Source organism: Homo sapiens, chromosome 10, assembly GCF_000001405.40.
Source record: "Homo sapiens chromosome 10, GRCh38.p14 Primary Assembly".
Taxonomy (NCBI): Eukaryota; Metazoa; Chordata; class Mammalia; order Primates; family Hominidae; genus Homo; species Homo sapiens.
The window spans coordinates 100,345,625-100,365,342 of NC_000010.11; the positions used below are offsets into that span (position 1 = coordinate 100,345,625).

Consider the following 19,718-nt stretch of genomic DNA (forward strand, 5'->3'; position numbering starts at 1 on the left):
GTGCCACATGCCAAGTACTTCTGAGGCATGACTGGATGAGCTGTCCACATCTGAAATCATCCAGTCTTGTTCAGAACTTTCACACCGGACAGGGAGCCAGGACTGGAATGCAGTCTCCTGGTCACTGGCCAGAGAGTTGGCCTGACCCTGAGACCAGTGGCCAACAAAGGAGCTGCTTAGTCTACCTCCCAGGAAATCCCAGGTGCTTGTCTTCCTGGGAAGTGAATCATTGGCGCAGCACTCCGTATTTTCTCCTCTTCCCAGGGGAAGGATCCTAGGGCAGTATTTGGGAAAGACATGGGCATGGAAGGACACCGGGTGAATGCATAGCCTGCCTGGTTCTGAGCTCTCATGGTAAGGCTCCTACAGACACGGAAAAGATGGGGGCACAGGGACAGATCAGTAGGGTCAGAGCATCTCAGGGACCGAGGGCAATATGGTCCTGAGCAGGGATTAAGAGCTTGGGCTCTCATATGGTGTTTCTGGGCTCAACTGCCAGCTCCATCACTTACTGGTTGCTGTGACCATGGGCAAGTTATTCCATCTCTCCATATCTCTTTCCTCACTTTTAAAATGGAATAATGGGGTACCCACCTCCCAGGGTCACAGAGAGGCTTACAGAAAACGATTCTTGTGAATTGGCTTGCAGTAATAATTCAATACCTGCCAGCTATTCTTATTCCACATCCAAGCCCTTTCGCCTGCTGCTGGGTGAAAACACATGTCAGTGTTTCCTGACGGTTTCCACAAAGAAGATTCCAAAATTACAACCTGCCAGTCTGAAGAATCTCCAAAACATCCCGCACGCATCCTGGAGGCGCGGGCTTGGGGATGGGACTGCCCGCCCGGGTCCTGAACAGGATGCGTGCGCGCAGGCACACACACACCAGCCAGCCTGTGTGTGCGGCCGGAGTCCGGTGCGGTCCCGGGTGAGCAGCGCGTGGCTGGTGGGCGGGGCAGAGCCATTGTTCGCAGGCGTACCGAGTCCCCCGCGCTCGCCCGGGAGGGAGGCGGGGCTTCCCGCGTCCCCCAAGCTCCAGATCCTGGGGTGGCTGCCACGTCTCCCTGCCACGCGCCTGGGGGGACGGAAGACGGGACGGAGATGTTAGTGGTGGGCGCCCCCCGAGGGTTCACCACTGTTTCCTGAGAAACTTCCCCAGTGCCCACCCACCCGTTCTCCGTGTGCCCGAGGGCCGGTCCTGGGCTAGGCTCCGCGCCCCAGCCCCAAACCGGGTCCCCAGCCCCTTCCAGAGAGAAAGCTCCCGACGCGGGATGCCGGGCAGAGGCCCAGCGGCGGGTGGAAGAGAAGCTGAGAAGGAGAAACAGAGGGGAGGGGGAGCGAGGAGCTGGCGGCAGAGGGAACAGCAGATTGCGCCGAGCCAATGGCAACGGCAGGACGAGGTGGCACCAAATTCCCTTCGGCCAATGACGAGCCGGAGTTTACAGAAGCCTCATTAGCATTTCCCCAGAGGCAGGGGCAGGGGCAGAGGCCGGGTGGTGTGGTGTCGGTGTCGGCAGCATCCCCGGCGCCCTGCTGCGGTCGCCGCGAGCCTCGGCCTCTGTCTCCTCCCCCTCCCGCCCTTACCTCCACGCGGGACCGCCCGCGCCAGTCAACTCCTCGCACTTTGCCCCTGCTTGGCAGCGGATAAAAGGGGGCTGAGGAAATACCGGACACGGTCACCCGTTGCCAGCTCTAGCCTTTAAATTCCCGGCTCGGGGACCTCCACGCACCGCGGCTAGCGCCGACAACCAGCTAGCGTGCAAGGCGCCGCGGCTCAGCGCGTACCGGCGGGCTTCGAAACCGCAGTCCTCCGGCGACCCCGAACTCCGCTCCGGAGCCTCAGCCCCCTGGAAAGTGATCCCGGCATCCGAGAGCCAAGATGCCGGCCCACTTGCTGCAGGACGATGTGAGTTTCCCAGCCTGGCCCCGTACCGCCGGGTCGCAGGCGCGGGCTGGGCTTCCAGGGGACGGGTTGGTGGCAGAAGAGAGGGGAGAGCTCCGCGGAGGACTTGGTCATCTTTTTCGAGTTGTGCTGCCTTCCGTGAGTTGGGAATGTGGATTGTAATTTGGGGACTTGAGTCTCCAACTTTAGTTTCTTAAGCTTTAAAGAAAAATCCGGTCGTGCTGGTGCTTTTATGAATTATGCGGGTTTTCCTTTGTCTTCGTGGGGATGTGAGTGCTTTACTTCTCCTTCCTACTGCCGCCTCCCGATAGGTTTCGCGCCCCTCGTCCCCCTCGCCCTCCGCCCCTAATGTATCTGTACAGTTTCAGGGAACTTTTCTCCGTTGCGTCTCGGATACACCCTACCCTCAGTGAACTACGGCGCTGCGGAAGGGTCCGTACTGTCCACCCTTCCCCCAGCGTGATTAGAGAGCGGAGTGGCCCCAGCTGCCTCCACGTGTCTCTTCTCCTGACTCTCCTCTTCCTCCCCCTTCCAGATCTCTAGCTCCTATACCACCACCACCACCATTACAGCGCCTCCCTCCAGGGTCCTGCAGAATGGAGGAGATAAGTTGGAGACGATGCCCCTCTACTTGGAAGACGACATTCGCCCTGATATAAAAGATGATATATATGACCCCACCTACAAGGATAAGGAAGGCCCAAGCCCCAAGGTTGAATATGTCTGGAGAAACATCATCCTTATGTCTCTGCTACACTTGGGAGCCCTGTATGGGATCACTTTGATTCCTACCTGCAAGTTCTACACCTGGCTTTGGGGTAAGCAGCCTCCCTGTCCTCCTGACCTAGTCCTCCAGGTACTCACTGCTCTTTTAATAAGGTAGGATCTTACAGAGGACACCAGCCCCTCCCAGCCTCCCGGTTGGGGTTTTTCTCAGGCATTTCTCTTTGGTTGCTTCAGGCCTAGTGGGCTGGGAAGAACCTGGGGGTACTGAGATGCAGGACTGTCAATGCTGGGGGTTGAGAGCTTTGGAACCTTGTGCTTGTGGGCTTTGAAGTGTGCTGTGCTGGAGAGTCAGCTTTCCCTGAAAGAGCTTTTCTGTTTGAGTCATTTGCTTGGCTGCCTGTCCCACCCCTGCCAGCCACAAAAGAATCAAACCCCTCTACCTGGGAGGCATGGGAACATGGTACTAAACCATTGGCTTTCTAGGGTTTGTGTTGAGCAATCATAGGCTAGCACAAGGGAAACTACTCAGGGAGAGAGTTTATTGGAAAGGGAGGAGAGAGCTCATTGGAAAGAGAGGAAAAGAGAGGTTGTTATCCACAAAACTATTTTGACCTGACCCCTTGGCCAGACCAGGCTTCTTCGTTACAGAGGAAGATGAAGCTCCCGTGCAACCCAAGTCACACAGGTGTGTGTTGCTCTGTTACTCTACATTCCAGGGTGCTGCACATACCAGTCAACAAAATGCTCTTAGAATGAAATCAGGCTGAAGATATGTTTCATGTTCCATCCCCCGTCCAGCCTGCTTCAGGCCCCCCTACTGATGCCATGAAGTGCCAAGAATTCTGCACCTTCCAACACCAGTCCTACCCATCCCTCCTTGCCAGGGACATCGAGGCCAGGCCAGAAAAGAGAGCCCGGTCTTGAGGCTGCTGTAATGAGGGAGACAGTTCCCAGTTTGTCCCCGACCTGCCCTTAGCTCAGCTCTTTCAGGGACCTGTTGGTGTGGCCTGATGGCATGGCCCTGCCCCCTGGATACACACATGCGCTTTGCAGGCTTTTTCACCTCTGTCACTATGAGCCTAAGTTGGGAAGGGAAAGCAGGGAGCTCTGCAGATCCAGGGGCCCTGCACTGCTACTCTCTAAGGGGTGGTGAGCCAGGACTTCTGGTGTGGGAAACTTTCTGACAGCTCGCTCTTGAAGGGTAGTTATGCAGAAGGGCTGGTAGGCCAAGTTTTAGCTGTTTCCCTCAGGACCTCTTAGGTCTTCTGAAGATGGTGAGATCTGGTTCATTGAGCTTTTGTTTCCAGAAATCCTCCAGGTGCTACAGTGAAATGCAACTGAGAAGAGCCCCTTTGTCAGGATCTCAGTTTTTCTAGGTACCACCTGTGGGCAACAGTACTTTTTTAGGATGGGGAAGGTAGCATTCCTTGGGTTACATATGTGTCACAGCCGCAGAGACAGAACAGGCCAGGTGCAGATCAGTTCATCTGCATACCAGGAAGAGCTCTTGTATTTGTGAGGGGAGGGCGACATCTGTTGTCTAGCCCCTCTGAGGATCCAGCAGAACTTCAGTTGCAGCTGAGGGATGAGGAGCAGGGATAGCATTCCCCAGGCAGTCTGTGGATGCCTCTCTCCACCCTTTCTCCCCAAGAGGATAGTCTTCACAAGTAGTTTTCTCTCCTGCAAGCTCCTTCCAGCCTCAGCACCCCCTGTAGGTTTCCTGAAGCCCAGAGTTTGACCCGATTGCCTCTGCTTGGTTATCCTCAGTTGCTACTGCAAGGAGCAGAATTCCATCCCAAAGTGAAGGCTGTGCCTGCTACATTTTTTTGGTGACCTGCCCATGGGTGTGTGCTGTGCCCTTGGGCAGATAAATGTGGCTCACAGAGACTAGATGGTAACTTATTTTACTGGGCCCTTTGGTGGATGGCTTAGCTGAAAGAATGACCATGTCGATGTGGGGATATCAGAACTCCTCTGTCTTGAGAAACAAGGAGGGTGAGGGGAGGAGGGTCAGAGGTCTCAACTTGGACATCTTCTCTTCCCACCTTCAGAATTTAGGAGCTTCACCTTTCTTGTTTTAATCCCTATGGACAATGTTAAATTAGCAACTGGTCGTGATTCCAGCATTTCTTATGACTGAGCACTTTTGAGAGCCTTAAATCTCTTTCATTTTGGAGTCTCCCAAAGAAGCCCTTAGGAGAATGCCTCTGGCAACACTGAGAGCCAGAGGCAAAACCATTCAAGTCTCTTTCTTAAGGCCAGAGCAATGAGATGTTGCTTAACCATCAATCTGGACATTTTCCTCCCCTGGGGAGGAGAGAAGGAATAAATCTCCAACTGATTTAAGCCCTTCTATTTGATAGGCTTAGAGGTGTTTCTAGAAAAGGCACCAGAGTGCCTGAGTTCTTTCCCCAATTTCCCTGTTAATATAGGATCTTATATACGTTCTGAGTCAACACTGCCCTAGGGTCTTGCAGCAAATAACAACCCTAGAAGCTCCCTTGCTCATTAGAGAGAGCTCTGGCTCAACTGATGGTTTCCCGAGTAAGATGCAGGTAGATACTGTATCTGGGGAGATGTCAGTCACCACTTGGCTTGAGGGCAGATCACCTGGGGCCTCAGTCCCCACTCTGAGGGAATGTGGAGAGAGCTCTTGTTGGGGCTGACTGGCTCTGTGGCTCTCCTGGAGATCTTATAGGAGGAATAGAAGAGAAGAAAGGAGGTAGGGTTGGGGGGAAAAGGAGGTTGTTTAGGAAACAGCTATCAATGGCTGCAAAAGAACACAGGACAATTTGTTACAATGTGTGGTGTCTCCAACTGCAACTAAGTTCTGTGGCCACTGAGGATCTATTGTTTCTAGCTGTTTCCCTAGGAATGAAACATTGTTAAGAGTTTCTATCAAGGCCACAGCTTCTGCCTGCTAGAGCTACTGAACAGAGGAAGATATGGGGACGCCCAGCAGCCCACTTCCCAGTTAGAGATTATATCTGGCACCTCCTGAGCCTGCAGGCCTCCAGGAAGGTGAGGGAAGACAATGGTGGGGTGCTTCACTGACAGCTTGAAGAATATCCCACCATTGTCTAGAGAGCGTTGCCCGGTGAGAGTATGGGCTGACAGGGATGTGGCAAAGGCGAGACAGAGGAGTTGTGCATGTATCTTGGGGGAGGTGGATGGTATAGCTGGAACGTGAAATCTTTGGTAAAGCTTAAGACACTGTACAAATTGGATTTATGCACAGGGCTAATTTTTCCCTGATTTGGCCACACTGACTGCTTGAATATTTAAATGCTTTTTTGTACCAGTTGATAAATGGCCATAGTCTGAATGCCCTAAGAGTCCCCTACAACTAAGGGCTTCTCAAATTGGTCAGTGCCCAGATTGTACTGGCTGTTATTTTATTTTTTGAGATAAGGTCTTGCTGTGTTGATAAGGCTTGAGTGCAGTGGCGCGATCTTGGCTCACCGCAGCCTCGACCTCCTGAGCTCAAGAGATCCTCCCACCTCAACCTCTTGAGTAGCTGAGACCACAGGCAGGTGCCACCATGCCAAGCTAATTTTTAAAATTATCTGTAGAGGCAAGGTCTCCCTATGTTATCCCAGCTGGTCTTGAACTCCTGGGCTCAAGGGGATCTTCCTGCCTTGGCCTCCCAAAATGCTGGGATGACAAAGTGGTTCATACTACACCTGGCCCTCTGCTGTTATTTTAATAACACCCTGGCTTATGGGTTCTGAGCTCTGCAGGAGTAGTTTGTGGCCCTTAAAACCTTAGAGAAGGCCTAGATAGAGGTGAAAGGAGATAGCTAGGCCCTGGGAGAATGCCTTTAAGATGAAGAATGAGTGGTAAGAGCACTATTCTCTCTCCTGCCTTTCTGACTCCTTAGTTCCTGGGATTCTTTAGCTTATCTTTTTTTCCTGGGTTGAGAGGTTGGGGGGTGATATTTTTCAAGTGGTAAAATCTAAGGGATGTGGTTATCCCTAGAGTTCATGGTAAAGCCAGTTCTCACCCAAAGCCTGACGAAGACAGTTTCTAGCATCCAGAGAGTGTCTCTGGCATCCTTTCCCAGATGGAACTCACACTGATTGGTGACTCCCCCACTGTCTTCTCCTGGCAGGGGTATTCTACTATTTTGTCAGTGCCCTGGGCATAACAGCAGGAGCTCATCGTCTGTGGAGCCACCGCTCTTACAAAGCTCGGCTGCCCCTACGGCTCTTTCTGATCATTGCCAACACAATGGCATTCCAGGTAAGAAGTTGTCTCTGCTCAGCTGTTTGTCCTCCACACTATTAATGATCCGGGGACAGAAAGGAGGGATCAGCACCAGAGAGGAGCCACACCTGACAGCCATTTCACTTTCCTCTCTCCTGTAGTCACCTCAAGTTCCAGTTCAGTCCTTAAGTCCATAAAGCATGAAGAGACTTCTGAGTCTTGGAAAAGGGAACTGGAAGATAATTGGAAAATACTCCTGATGTGTAGGAATATTTTTGATCCTAAGGTCCCTGTGTTGTCACACAATCTGGCCGTTGTGGCTCTTCATCATAAGGGGCTTTGGCACATAAGCCAGAGACTGACCTTAGATTCCTGGGCAGACACTGGACAATAAATTCACTATTTAAGGTAAATATCTTAGGGAGGCAGAGCTGGGAGGATCACTGGAGCCCAGGAGTTTGAAGCTGCAGTGAGCCATGATATCACCACTGCACTCCAGCCTGGGTGACAAGACCCCAACTTTAAAAAAAAAATTTCAAAAGTGAATAACTTAGGACTCCACCACAGTGGGATTGAAGTTGATGTTCCCAGACTCGTGAACTCTTATTTTGAGATAATGAGAGCAAACACTTTTATTGCACTGACTATGAGCCTGGCACTATTCTAAGCATTTGATATAAAGTCCTCACAAAAATCTTAGGAAATAGGTACTATTATCCCCATTTTACAGATGAGGAAACCAAGTTACAGAGAGATTAGATAGACCAGCCCAACATTGTGGCCCTTTCTTGGGCTGCCATGGTGGCTAAGTAAAACATTGAGGTTTGTTAAGGCAAAAAACAAACCTGGGCACGGTGGCTCACGCCTGTAATCTCAGAACTTTGGGAGGCCGAGGTGGGCAGATCACAAGGTCAGGAGATCAAGATCATCCTGGCTAACACAGTGAAACTCTGTCTCTACTAAAAATACAAAAAATTAGCCAGGCGTGGTGGCGGGCACCTGTAGTCCCAGCTACGTGGGAGGCTGAGGCAGGAGAATGGTGTGAACCTGGGAGGCAGAGCTTGCAGTGAGCTGAGATCGCGCCACTGCACTCCAGCCTGGGCAACAGCAAGACTCCATCTCAAAAAAAAAAAAAAAAAAGTTTATAGCAAAGACAGAATGAAGGGAAATGGGGAAAGGGAATGCATCATAGTCATTAAGCTGTAGCAATGGGCAAATGATAGCATGTGGCGTTTGGCTTAGCTTGGAGCAAGAGGAAGAAAGGAAACCAACTTAGTGGTGGCAATATCCCAAGAACTTGCCACATTTGCATGATCATCTCTGCCATAGCAGCTTATACCTTGAAGGCTTCCAAAGTTGTCCTGTGGAGCAAAAGGAAGGAAGAGAGATATTGGTACATTCTTTAAGGGATGGAAAAAGTCATGAAGAAGCCCAGAGGTCGTTTGAAAATGCAGTCATGATCACGAGTTGCATGCCTGGCCTTGTTATTGGGTTGTATGAGCTCTTTTGCAAGGCACCAGAATGGTGCACCCTGCAGCTGCAGCTTATCTACTGATTGAGACCCTAGGACACAAGGCTGCCTGCCTCATGTTCCCCATGCCTAGGGATTAGGTACCCCATGAGGATCTTTTCCAACATTCCTTGCTTAAAGAATTGCAATGTTCTCACTTCTTGAAACTCTCTGAGCTCTGTATGATTTACCTCCGTTCCACCCACCATATAACTTTCAAGAAACAGCAGTTCTATTGCTATGGTCCTGGGACTTTAAGTTGCTTTTTTCTACTTAAGCTTCAGTGGCAAGTTGGGAGAAGAAGGGAGGCAACTCCATGACTCCTTTGGAGCCCAGATTCCTGGGTATTTTGTGAGGTTGGGCTGAGCGCCTTGGGCTCTTGATACCTGTCCATTGGGATTCTCCTAATAGGGTGTCTATCCTCAAGCCTTACATTCCTCTTCTCTCTCTCCCCAGAATGATGTCTATGAATGGGCTCGTGACCACCGTGCCCACCACAAGTTTTCAGAAACACATGCTGATCCTCATAATTCCCGACGTGGCTTTTTCTTCTCTCACGTGGGTTGGCTGCTTGTGCGCAAACACCCAGCTGTCAAAGAGAAGGGGAGTACGCTAGACTTGTCTGACCTAGAAGCTGAGAAACTGGTGATGTTCCAGAGGAGGTGAGTGAAGCCCTGATGGAGGTGGGGATATGGCCCTGGCACCTGGTCATTAGGGACCCCATTTTTTCTCCTGAGACTTTCAAAATATAAGCTGAGAAATTTGCTGGGTTTGCATGTTCACAATCTTAATTTAAAATCCCAATTTTTAACATCCCACGGGCCCGTAGCCATAGACTATTGCTCCATTTCTTTCTCTCTGACTATCTTAATTAAACCCATTACATTCAAGAGATGTTTATTGTCCTAGGACAGTCATAGATTCAAAGATGATTATAGCCTAGTTGCCTAGGTTTGTTTGTTTGTTTTTGTGTTTGTGTTTCAACAGTCTTTCTCTCTTGCCCAGGCTGGAGTGCAGTGGCACAATCATGGCTCACTGCAGCCTTGACTTCCCAGGCTCAAGCAATCCTTCTACCTCAACCTCCTGAGTATCTGGGACTACAGGCACACACCGCCATGCCTGGCTAATTTTTTGTGGGGACAAGGTCTCACTCACTATATTGCCCAGGCCGGTAGCTTAGTTCTTACCTTCAAAAAGTTTGTAGCCTATCGGGGTGGAGAGATAAGCCAAGTATCCAGATAACCATGGCATAAGGCAGAATATTTTCTGTACTATGAGAGGTACAAAGGGGAGGGAGATTGCTCAATGGGCAACACCAAGGAAGTGATATGAAATAAATAGTGTTGGAATCCACCAACGGATAGAAATTTTTACAACTATGTGTGGGGAGAGACAGTGCAAACAGAAGAAACAGAATGAGCTAAAACACGAAGCATGTTCCAGCAATAGAGTCCTTTTGCTTGAAGTATAGGGTATGGGAAGAAGTAAGACTGGAGAGACTAATGCCATTCTTGTCGAGTCCTAAAAGCAGACTTAGGACTTAATTCAATAAGCAATAGGAAGCCATTACATCTTTTGAACTGCAATGTGGCATAGTTACGGACGTGCTTTAGGAAGGCTGCTTTTAGAACAAGTGTAAGAAACCACTGAGCCAAAGTGAGAGGTAGGGACATAAGTTAGGTAATGAGGACCCCTGCTAGCGAAGCAGTGGCAGAAATGGAGAAAAGAGTTGGGTGCAGGGAATGTCAGTGATGTAAAAGTCAAAGACTTGACTGCTGAAGGAATGTAGGGAATCAGTGCCCTTGGAATGTCAATGGCCTGGTCTACATTGAGAATGAAGACTGAGAAAGGGCTTCCTGAGGGACAGAGAGCTGCAGGTGATCAAGGACACTCAATGGGTCTCTGAGGGAAAAGAAGACCAAAGAATTAGGGAGTAGCTAGCAGAAAATGGAGGCATGACACTAAACACAGACTGAAAAAGAGTGCTGATTAGAAAGAGAAAGGAGCCCAAAGGCAGATGGGAAAACCAGCCAAGGATGGAGAGACGTCTGTTCATTAGTTTGTAGTTTGGACCTCACCTATCTTACCAATGTGGTATTATGCTCTAGTAAAAAGTCAGCGATGGCCGGGCATGGTGGCTCATGCCCGTAATCCCAGCACTTTGGGAGGCTGAGGCGGGAGGATTGCTGGAAAGTTCAGGCATTCGAGACCAGCCTGGGCAACATAGTGAGACCTCATCTCTACAAAAAATTAAAAACTAAATGGGCACGATGGTTCATGCCTGTGGTCCCAGCTACTCAGGAGGCTGGGGTGGGAGGATCTCTTGGCCCAGGAGTTCAAGGCTGTGGTGAACTAAGGTCACGCCACTGCACTCCAGCCTTGGCAACAGAGTGAGACCCTGTCAAAAAAAACAAACAAAAATAAATAAAACAATGAACTTAGAGTCAGACAAGCAATTCAACATGGAAGAAAGACAGCCCATCCCCTCCCAATTAGTGTGGAAGATCCATGTAGGTGTGGAGTCCCCCTCCATTGACCTGGTGTCTGGTCTGTCAATGTAGGTACTACAAACCTGGCTTGCTGATGATGTGCTTCATCCTGCCCACGCTTGTGCCCTGGTATTTCTGGGGTGAAACTTTTCAAAACAGTGTGTTCGTTGCCACTTTCTTGCGATATGCTGTGGTGCTTAATGCCACCTGGCTGGTGAACAGTGCTGCCCACCTCTTCGGATATCGTCCTTATGACAAGAACATTAGCCCCCGGGAGAATATCCTGGTTTCACTTGGAGCTGTGGGTAAGTCAGCTGTCCAAGTAAGACTACATCCAGTGGTCTGCTGATTAGGGGATTAGGCTAGGAGCCAGAAAAACTAGATAAATCTGTTTTTTATGGCTACTTTGTATCTCAGTTTTTCCACTATAAAATTAGGGGGCAGTATACTGGAAAACGCTTTTGAGAGTCAGGCAACATGTTTTATGTAAAAATGAAAGGATAAGAAACAAAACACAAAAAAACACTGATTTTGATTCCAGGTTCTAAAACAATTTCCAAATGCCATGTATGCTCCGGGCCCGGCGGCTCATGCCTGTAATCCCAGCACTTTGGGAGGCTGAGGCGGGCAGGTCACCTGAGGTCAGGAGTTTGAGACCAGTCTGGCCAACACGGTGAAACCCTGTTTCTATTAAAAAGCAAAACAAACAAACAAAAAAGAAAACCAAATGCCATACATGATGAGCACCTTAGAGTTTTCCTTTCTTTCATCAACTCTGGGCTGGACTGCAGTCTTGCTTGAGGCAAGGAATGCATAAATAGAACAATGGGATCATCTGAGTGGCCAGTAAGCCTGGTGTTTTATGAACTTCAAGTATGCACACAAAGTATTTTTTATCTTTCCACTCTACTCAGATATGCCTTGCTTTAAGAGTGTGCCGTGCCTTACTGTTTGGTGATGCCATTATGAAGGGCATCAAAATAACTGCTGGTGGCCCTTTACTACCACCTACCCTCTTGTCTCCTCTTGTCCTCTATTTTTCTCTCTTCTACTTCTATTCTGGGCTAGGAACATCCCTTCCCCCAACATGCCTTCAGGAATCTCCCAATAAAGCAGTGTGATCACAAGTTCCTGCTCAATTCTCTAATGTTGATCTTATCTTTTCTCTTTTCTTTCCTTTCATTTTCTTTCTTTTCTTTTCTTTTCCTTTCTTTTCTAATGAGACAGGGTCTCACCATGGTGCCCAGGCTGGTCTTGAACCCTGGGCTGAAGTGATCCTCCTGCCTCAGCCTCCCAAAGTATCTACATTTTTTTCTCTGTCCCTCTTTCCAACTGAATATAGACTTTCACCAAGGCCCTGAATGAATTTTCCTTAAATAGATCTGGCGACCTCTTCTTTCCAGTAATTGGTGCTATTGGTCATTCAATAATATCTAGACAACCACACTACTCCACACATTTAGGCAGGTCATTGCCTAACACTCATTTTCTTTTTCTCTTTAAAAATCTTCCTTTATATTCTCAACCTTAACCATCTTTATTATCTTTTAAATTGTTGTTGAGACAGTCTCACTCTGTTGCCCAGGTTTCAGTGCAGTGGTGTGATCACAGCTCACTGCAGCTATGACCTCCTGGGCTCAAGCGATCCTCGGGGTTCAGCCTCCCAAGTAACTGGGATTACAGGTGCATGCCACCATGCTTGGCTAATTTTTCTATTTTTTTGTAGAGACATGGTTTTGCCATGTTGCACAGGCTGGTCTCGAACTCCTGAGCTCAAGTGATCTTCCTGCCTTGGCCTCCCAAAGTGCTGGAATTATAATAGCCGTGAGCCACTGCGCCTGGCCTACTATGTTTATTAAAAGGATTTATTGCCTGTAATCCCAGCACTTTGGGAGGCCGAGGCGGGTGGATCATGAGGTCAGGAGATCGAGACCATCCTGGCTAACAAGGTGAAACCCCGTCTCTACTAAAAATACAAAAAAATTAGCCAGGCGCAGTGGCGGGCGCCTGTAGTCCCAGCTACTTGGGAGGCTGAGGCAGGAGAATGGCGTGAACCCGGGAAGCGGAGCTTGCAGTGAGCCGAGATTCCGCCACTGCAGTCCGCAGTCCGGCCTGGGCGACAGAGCGAGACTCCGTCTCAAAAAAAAAAAAAAAAAAAGATTTATTTGTCTAGGCGTGGTGGCTCACACCTGTAATCCCAGCACTTTGGGAAGCCAAAGTGGGTGGTTCACTTGAGGTCAGGAGTTAGAGATCAGCCAGGCCAATATGGTGAACCTCTGTCTCTACTTAAAAAAAAAAAAAAAAAAAAGTACAAAAAACTTAGCCAGGCATGGTGGCACGTGCCTGTAGTCCCAGCTACTCAGGAGGCTGAGGCAGAAGAATCGCTTGAACCCGGGAGGCAGAGGTTGCAATGAGCCGAGATTGTGCCACTGCACTCCAGCCTGGGTGACAGAGACTCCATCTCAAAAATATATAATAAAAATAAAAGCATTTTTTTTCTCTCTTTTTAACTTTCACATATCTCTTTTCAGGCACCTTCTTACCATTGTGCCTATTCTTACTTTAACCCATGATTAAAATAAATCATATACACTGTATAAATCTGAGATTATCATAGGAATGGAGTTTCTGGCATGAGATGTTTCCTGTATCGCAAATGGATCTATAATGACCTTCCCCACCTCCAGCCTCTGGGTGGCCATGAGTTCAAAGTGGCTGCCAATATCTGACCTGTTGTTGTTATCATTCACTCCTCCTTGCCTGCTGCTTTCCTCCCTTATCACCTCACCCTTTGTTCTCCTCCAGCTCTGTTTCCTGCCACCCTAATCTTTTTGTTTCTTGAATTACCTCCCCCACTGTCACATGCTCATCTTCTCTGCCAAATTAACCTTCTCCCTTGAGCCTTTCTTGGGCTGTCTCTTGCTGCCCCAGTTGCAAAGTCCTGTCTTCTTTCTACCCGTTGACCCTCTTCTTTTTTTTTCCTCCCTTGTCTCTGTGTGCATCTGATTCCATTTTAAATCTGGTAACCAAAGGCCTGGCTAGTGCTTACACACAGCCCAGCTGCAAAACCATTAATGGACATTAATAATCCTCAGTACCTTTATTCCTGGCATTCTACCCCCCTCCTCCCCAGTTCACACTGCAGATCATCAGGTGTCACAGAGAGAGGACATACCTTGAAATGCCCTAGATGATGTCATTTACTTTGCAGGACTTCCTTGCCTTGCTTCTGATTAATGTCATGACTGGTCTGTCTGAGGGTACTGTTATCTACAAAGAGCCAAATATTAGCTCTTAGTAGCTATTCTTTATCCATGCCTGATTAGGGTCAGTATTATTTTTGGCTGTGGTTCAGAAAGAAGAGTCCTGCCAAGCGTTGGCAAACTCTCTATCTGTCGAGTTTCCAAAGCTTTACACGTTAGAGAAATTGCTGTGAATCCAGAATTTGTTTGTTTTCCTCCCTCCAGCAAAGTGAAATGTTCATCCCAAGAGTCCTCAAAATCTCAGAGGTTACAGGGTATTTTTCTTCCTCAGAGAGCTTCTGTTTTATCAGCACCTCCCCCACACCAGGGTCAAAGCTCAAAAAAGTTGGAGCAGCCCCTGGGAACTGCAGTGGCTGAGGACATTCCAGCCCCTGGGCTGGCCTTTCTTCTGATCTTTGGCTGCAGGGCCCACTCTTTTGGAACCTCCCACCCCTAGAGGTGGTTCCAGTGTGGTGGGGAAAGGTGTGCTTCTTTACTCATTTTTTTAAGAGTCATAGCCAGAGTGCTTCATTCTGCAAGGACGTGCACATGCACATGCACACAGAGCCTTGAGGGCAGGGCCAAGAGTGAATTTGGAATTTTCCAACCTGATACCCATTCCCAAAAGTAGGAGCTTCTCTCTAGTCATTTTATCCTCTGAGAAACTGTCAGTTCTCCTCCCACAAGGCTCCCAGACAGCCACGGGTGACCAGGGTCTCCAATCACTCCTTAAGATGCCTTTGACTGGCTGGGCGCAGTGACTCATGACTGTAATCCTAGCACTTTGGGTGGTCAACGTGGGAGGGTTGCTTGCAACATGGCAAGACCCCGTCTCTACAAAAAAAGTAAAATAATAAAAGTAAAGATGCCTCTGAGGGGATCTGTTTGGTTCATATTAAAAGAGACTGAATTCATCCATTCAACAATAGCGAGTTTCTCCCAGGTGTGAGGTACCCTGCTAGCTAACTGGTGTGCACAAATCAAGAAAACCTCAATGCACCGTCACTCCATAACTTCTCGCTTTTGTTTCAGGTGAGGGCTTCCACAACTACCACCACTCCTTTCCCTATGACTACTCTGCCAGTGAGTACCGCTGGCACATCAACTTCACCACATTCTTCATTGATTGCATGGCCGCCCTCGGTCTGGCCTATGACCGGAAGAAAGTCTCCAAGGCCGCCATCTTGGCCAGGATTAAAAGAACCGGAGATGGAAACTACAAGAGTGGCTGAGTTTGGGGTCCCTCAGGTTCCTTTTTCAAAAACCAGCCAGGCAGAGGTTTTAATGTCTGTTTATTAACTACTGAATAATGCTACCAGGATGCTAAAGATGATGATGTTAACCCATTCCAGTACAGTATTCTTTTAAAATTCAAAAGTATTGAAAGCCAACAACTCTGCCTTTATGATGCTAAGCTGATATTATTTCTTCTCTTATCCTCTCTCTCTTCTAGGCCCATTGTCCTCCTTTTCACTTTATTGCTATCGCCCTCCTTTCCCTTATTGCCTCCCAGGCAAGCAGCTGGTCAGTCTTTGCTCAGTGTCCAGCTTCCAAAGCCTAGACAACCTTTCTGTAGCCTAAAACGAATGGTCTTTGCTCCAGATAACTCTCTTTCCTTGAGCTGTTGTGAGCTTTGAAGTAGGTGGCTTGAGCTAGAGATAAAACAGAATCTTCTGGGTAGTCCCCTGTTGATTATCTTCAGCCCAGGCTTTTGCTAGATGGAATGGAAAAGCAACTTCATTTGACACAAAGCTTCTAAAGCAGGTAAATTGTCGGGGGAGAGAGTTAGCATGTATGAATGTAAGGATGAGGGAAGCGAAGCAAGAGGAACCTCTCGCCATGATCAGACATACAGCTGCCTACCTAATGAGGACTTCAAGCCCCACCACATAGCATGCTTCCTTTCTCTCCTGGCTCGGGGTAAAAAGTGGCTGCGGTGTTTGGCAATGCTAATTCAATGCCGCAACATATAGTTGAGGCCGAGGATAAAGAAAAGACATTTTAAGTTTGTAGTAAAAGTGGTCTCTGCTGGGGAAGGGTTTTCTTTTCTTTTTTTCTTTAATAACAAGGAGATTTCTTAGTTCATATATCAAGAAGTCTTGAAGTTGGGTGTTTCCAGAATTGGTAAAAACAGCAGCTCATAGAATTTTGAGTATTCCATGAGCTGCTCATTACAGTTCTTTCCTCTTTCTGCTCTGCCATCTTCAGGATATTGGTTCTTCCCCTCATAGTAATAAGATGGCTGTGGCATTTCCAAACATCCAAAAAAAGGGAAGGATTTAAGGAGGTGAAGTCGGGTCAAAAATAAAATATATATACATATATACATTGCTTAGAACGTTAAACTATTAGAGTATTTCCCTTCCAAAGAGGGATGTTTGGAAAAAACTCTGAAGGAGAGGAGGAATTAGTTGGGATGCCAATTTCCTCTCCACTGCTGGACATGAGATGGAGAGGCTGAGGGACAGGATCTATAGGCAGCTTCTAAGAGCGAACTTCACATAGGAAGGGATCTGAGAACACGTTGCCAGGGGCTTGAGAAGGTTACTGAGTGAGTTATTGGGAGTCTTAATAAAATAAACTAGATATTAGGTCCATTCATTAATTAGTTCCAGTTTCTCCTTGAAATGAGTAAAAACTAGAAGGCTTCTCTCCACAGTGTTGTGCCCCTTCACTCATTTTTTTTTGAGGAGAAGGGGGTCTCTGTTAACATCTAGCCTAAAGTATACAACTGCCTGGGGGGCAGGGTTAGGAATCTCTTCACTACCCTGATTCTTGATTCCTGGCTCTACCCTGTCTGTCCCTTTTCTTTGACCAGATCTTTCTCTTCCCTGAACGTTTTCTTCTTTCCCTGGACAGGCAGCCTCCTTTGTGTGTATTCAGAGGCAGTGATGACTTGCTGTCCAGGCAGCTCCCTCCTGCACACAGAATGCTCAGGGTCACTGAACCACTGCTTCTCTTTTGAAAGTAGAGCTAGCTGCCACTTTCACGTGGCCTCCGCAGTGTCTCCACCTACACCCCTGTGCTCCCCTGCCACACTGATGGCTCAAGACAAGGCTGGCAAACCCTCCCAGAAACATCTCTGGCCCAGAAAGCCTCTCTCTCCCTCCCTCTCTCATGAGGCACAGCCAAGCCAAGCGCTCATGTTGAGCCAGTGGGCCAGCCACAGAGCAAAAGAGGGTTTATTTTCAGTCCCCTCTCTCTGGGTCAGAACCAGAGGGCATGCTGAATGCCCCCTGCTTACTTGGTGAGGGTGCCCCGCCTGAGTCAGTGCTCTCAGCTGGCAGTGCAATGCTTGTAGAAGTAGGAGGAAACAGTTCTCACTGGGAAGAAGCAAGGGCAAGAACCCAAGTGCCTCACCTCGAAAGGAGGCCCTGTTCCCTGGAGTCAGGGTGAACTGCAAAGCTTTGGCTGAGACCTGGGATTTGAGATACCACAAACCCTGCTGAACACAGTGTCTGTTCAGCAAACTAACCAGCATTCCCTACAGCCTAGGGCAGACAATAGTATAGAAGTCTGGAAAAAAACAAAAACAGAATTTGAGAACCTTGGACCACTCCTGTCCCTGTAGCTCAGTCATCAAAGCAGAAGTCTGGCTTTGCTCTATTAAGATTGGAAATGTACACTACCAAACACTCAGTCCACTGTTGAGCCCCAGTGCTGGAAGGGAGGAAGGCCTTTCTTCTGTGTTAATTGCGTAGAGGCTACAGGGGTTAGCCTGGACTAAAGGCATCCTTGTCTTTTGAGCTATTCACCTCAGTAGAAAAGGATCTAAGGGAAGATCACTGTAGTTTAGTTCTGTTGACCTGTGCACCTACCCCTTGGAAATGTCTGCTGGTATTTCTAATTCCACAGGTCATCAGATGCCTGCTTGATAATATATAAACAATAAAAACAACTTTCACTTCTTCCTATTGTAATCGTGTGCCATGGATCTGATCTGTACCATGACCCTACATAAGGCTGGATGGCACCTCAGGCTGAGGGCCCCAATGTATGTGTGGCTGTGGGTGTGGGTGGGAGTGTGTCTGCTGAGTAAGGAACACGATTTTCAAGATTCTAAAGCTCAATTCAAGTGACACATTAATGATAAACTCAGATCTGATCAAGAGTCCGGATTTCTAACAGTCCTTGCTTTGGGGGGTGTGCTGACAACTTAGCTCAGGTGCCTTACATCTTTTCTAATCACAGTGTTGCATATGAGCCTGCCCTCACTCCCTCTGCAGAATCCCTTTGCACCTGAGACCCTACTGAAGTGGCTGGTAGAAAAAGGGGCCTGAGTGGAGGATTATCAGTATCACGATTTGCAGGATTCCCTTCTGGGCTTCATTCTGGAAACTTTTGTTAGGGCTGCTTTTCTTAAGTGCCCACATTTGATGGAGGGTGGAAATAATTTGAATGTATTTGATTTATAAGTTTTTTTTTTTTTTTTGGGTTAAAAGATGGTTGTAGCATTTAAAATGGAAAATTTTCTCCTTGGTTTGCTAGTATCTTGGGTGTATTCTCTGTAAGTGTAGCTCAAATAGGTCATCATGAAAGGTTAAAAAAGCGAGGTGGCCATGTTATGCTGGTGGTTAAGGCCAGGGCCTCTCCAACCACTGTGCCACTGACTTGCTGTGTGACCCTGGGCAAGTCACTTAACTATAAGGTGCCTCAGTTTTCCTTCTGTTAAAATGGGGATAATAATACTGACCTACCTCAAAGGGCAGTTTTGAGGCATGACTAATGCTTTTTAGAAAGCATTTTGGGATCCTTCAGCACAGGAATTCTCAAGACCTGAGTATTTTTTATAATAGGAATGTCCACCATGAACTTGATACGTCCGTGTGTCCCAGATGCTGTCATTAGTCTATATGGTTCTCCAAGAAACTGAATGAATCCATTGGAGAAGCGGTGGATAACTAGCCAGACAAAATTTGAGAATACATAAACAACGCATTGCCACGGAAACATACAGAGGATGCCTTTTCTGTGATTGGGTGGGATTTTTTCCCTTTTTATGTGGGATATAGTAGTTACTTGTGACAAGAATAATTTTGGAATAATTTCTATTAATATCAACTCTGAAGCTAATTGTACTAATCTGAGATTGTGTTTGTTCATAATAAAAGTGAAGTGAATCTGATTGCACTGGGTCTGGGAGTTTCTTTTGGCTGTGATTCAAAGTCTTGGGATTTGTCTCTGGCTCATATCTATGTCTGTACCTTTAAGAGTATAAAAGAAGTAGAAGTTACAATGGTTGACTCATACCCCATTAACCTGCCCTGCTGTCCTAAAGGTAACTTTAGGTTAAACTCTGGGACGCAGGAAGCCAGGAGTCTGCTGCCATTAAATCAAACACATTAACACCAGCTGGCAACTTGGCCCTGGGGAAGTGCCAGGGTTCTCGGGTGTGTCACGTGGTCGGTCACATAGACCTAAGATAAAGACACTGGGAGAGGAAAAGACCAGCAGGAGAAGCGCTCCCTGGGAAAGCAGTTTTTTGCTCTTGCCCAGGCTGGAGTGCAATGGTGTGATCTGGGCTCACTGCAAATTCTGCCTCTTGGATTCAAGCATTCTCCTGACTCAGCCTCCCAAGTAGCTGGGATTACAGGCACATGTCACCATGTCCGGCTAATTATGTATTTTTAGTAGAGATGGG

The 19,718-nt window shown here is 48.0% G+C and overlaps 1 protein-coding gene across 1 annotated transcript, besides 7 other annotated features; it reads left to right on the plus strand.

Moving 5' to 3' along the window:
• Positions 874-1,253: a silencer, noted in NCBI's record as "silent region_2706". NCBI's record gives its function as "represses an Ori minimal core promoter by ATAC-STARR-seq in GM12878 lymphoblastoid cells {active_cell/tissue: GM12878}" and the evidence as "EXISTENCE:reporter gene assay evidence [ECO:0000049][PMID:35858748]".
• Positions 874-1,635: a biological region, named in NCBI's record as "H3K27ac hESC enhancer GRCh37_chr10:102106425-102107016".
• Positions 1,044-1,635: an enhancer, noted in NCBI's record as "H3K27ac hESC enhancer chr10:102106425-102107016 (GRCh37/hg19 assembly coordinates)". NCBI's record gives its function as "activates a minimal SCP1, AML or CMV promoter by ChIP-STARR-seq in naive H9 embryonic stem cells {active_cell/tissue: H9 hESC(naive)}" and the evidence as "EXISTENCE:reporter gene assay evidence [ECO:0000049][PMID:30033119]".
• Positions 1,284-1,353: an enhancer, noted in NCBI's record as "active region_3889". NCBI's record gives its function as "activates an Ori minimal core promoter by ATAC-STARR-seq in GM12878 lymphoblastoid cells {active_cell/tissue: GM12878}" and the evidence as "EXISTENCE:reporter gene assay evidence [ECO:0000049][PMID:35858748]".
• Positions 1,454-1,503: a silencer, noted in NCBI's record as "silent region_2707". NCBI's record gives its function as "represses an Ori minimal core promoter by ATAC-STARR-seq in GM12878 lymphoblastoid cells {active_cell/tissue: GM12878}" and the evidence as "EXISTENCE:reporter gene assay evidence [ECO:0000049][PMID:35858748]".
• Positions 1,609-19,202, plus strand: SCD (stearoyl-CoA desaturase). Its single transcript, NM_005063.5, has 6 exons — positions 1,609-1,907; positions 2,440-2,722; positions 6,742-6,872; positions 8,803-9,008; positions 10,908-11,140; positions 15,110-19,202. The coding sequence occupies exons 1-6, from the start codon at positions 1,881-1,883 to the stop codon at positions 15,307-15,309; spliced, it is 1,080 nt and encodes a 359-aa protein (NP_005054.3). The 5' UTR covers positions 1,609-1,880; the 3' UTR covers positions 15,310-19,202.
• Positions 1,734-1,973: an enhancer, noted in NCBI's record as "active region_3890". NCBI's record gives its function as "activates an Ori minimal core promoter by ATAC-STARR-seq in GM12878 lymphoblastoid cells {active_cell/tissue: GM12878}" and the evidence as "EXISTENCE:reporter gene assay evidence [ECO:0000049][PMID:35858748]".
• Positions 8,953-9,453: an enhancer, noted in NCBI's record as "H3K4me1 hESC enhancer chr10:102114334-102114834 (GRCh37/hg19 assembly coordinates)". NCBI's record gives its function as "activates a minimal SCP1, AML or CMV promoter by ChIP-STARR-seq in naive H9 embryonic stem cells {active_cell/tissue: H9 hESC(naive)}" and the evidence as "EXISTENCE:reporter gene assay evidence [ECO:0000049][PMID:30033119]".
• Positions 19,203-19,718: the final 516 nt, after the last annotated feature.

What these genes read in the sequence shown, in the direction of transcription:
- SCD (NM_005063.5), top strand. Translation starts at nt 1,881, where the DNA reads ATGCCGGCCCACTTGCTGCAGGACGAT. An exon ending in CTGGTGATGTTCCAGAGGAG is followed by an intron (nt 9,009 to 10,907) that starts GTGAGTGAAGCC and finishes CTGTCAATGTAG; the next exon opens with GTACTACAAACCTGGCTTGC. An exon ending in GGTTTCACTTGGAGCTGTGG is followed by an intron (nt 11,141 to 15,109) that starts GTAAGTCAGCTG and finishes CTTTTGTTTCAG; the next exon opens with GTGAGGGCTTCCACAACTAC.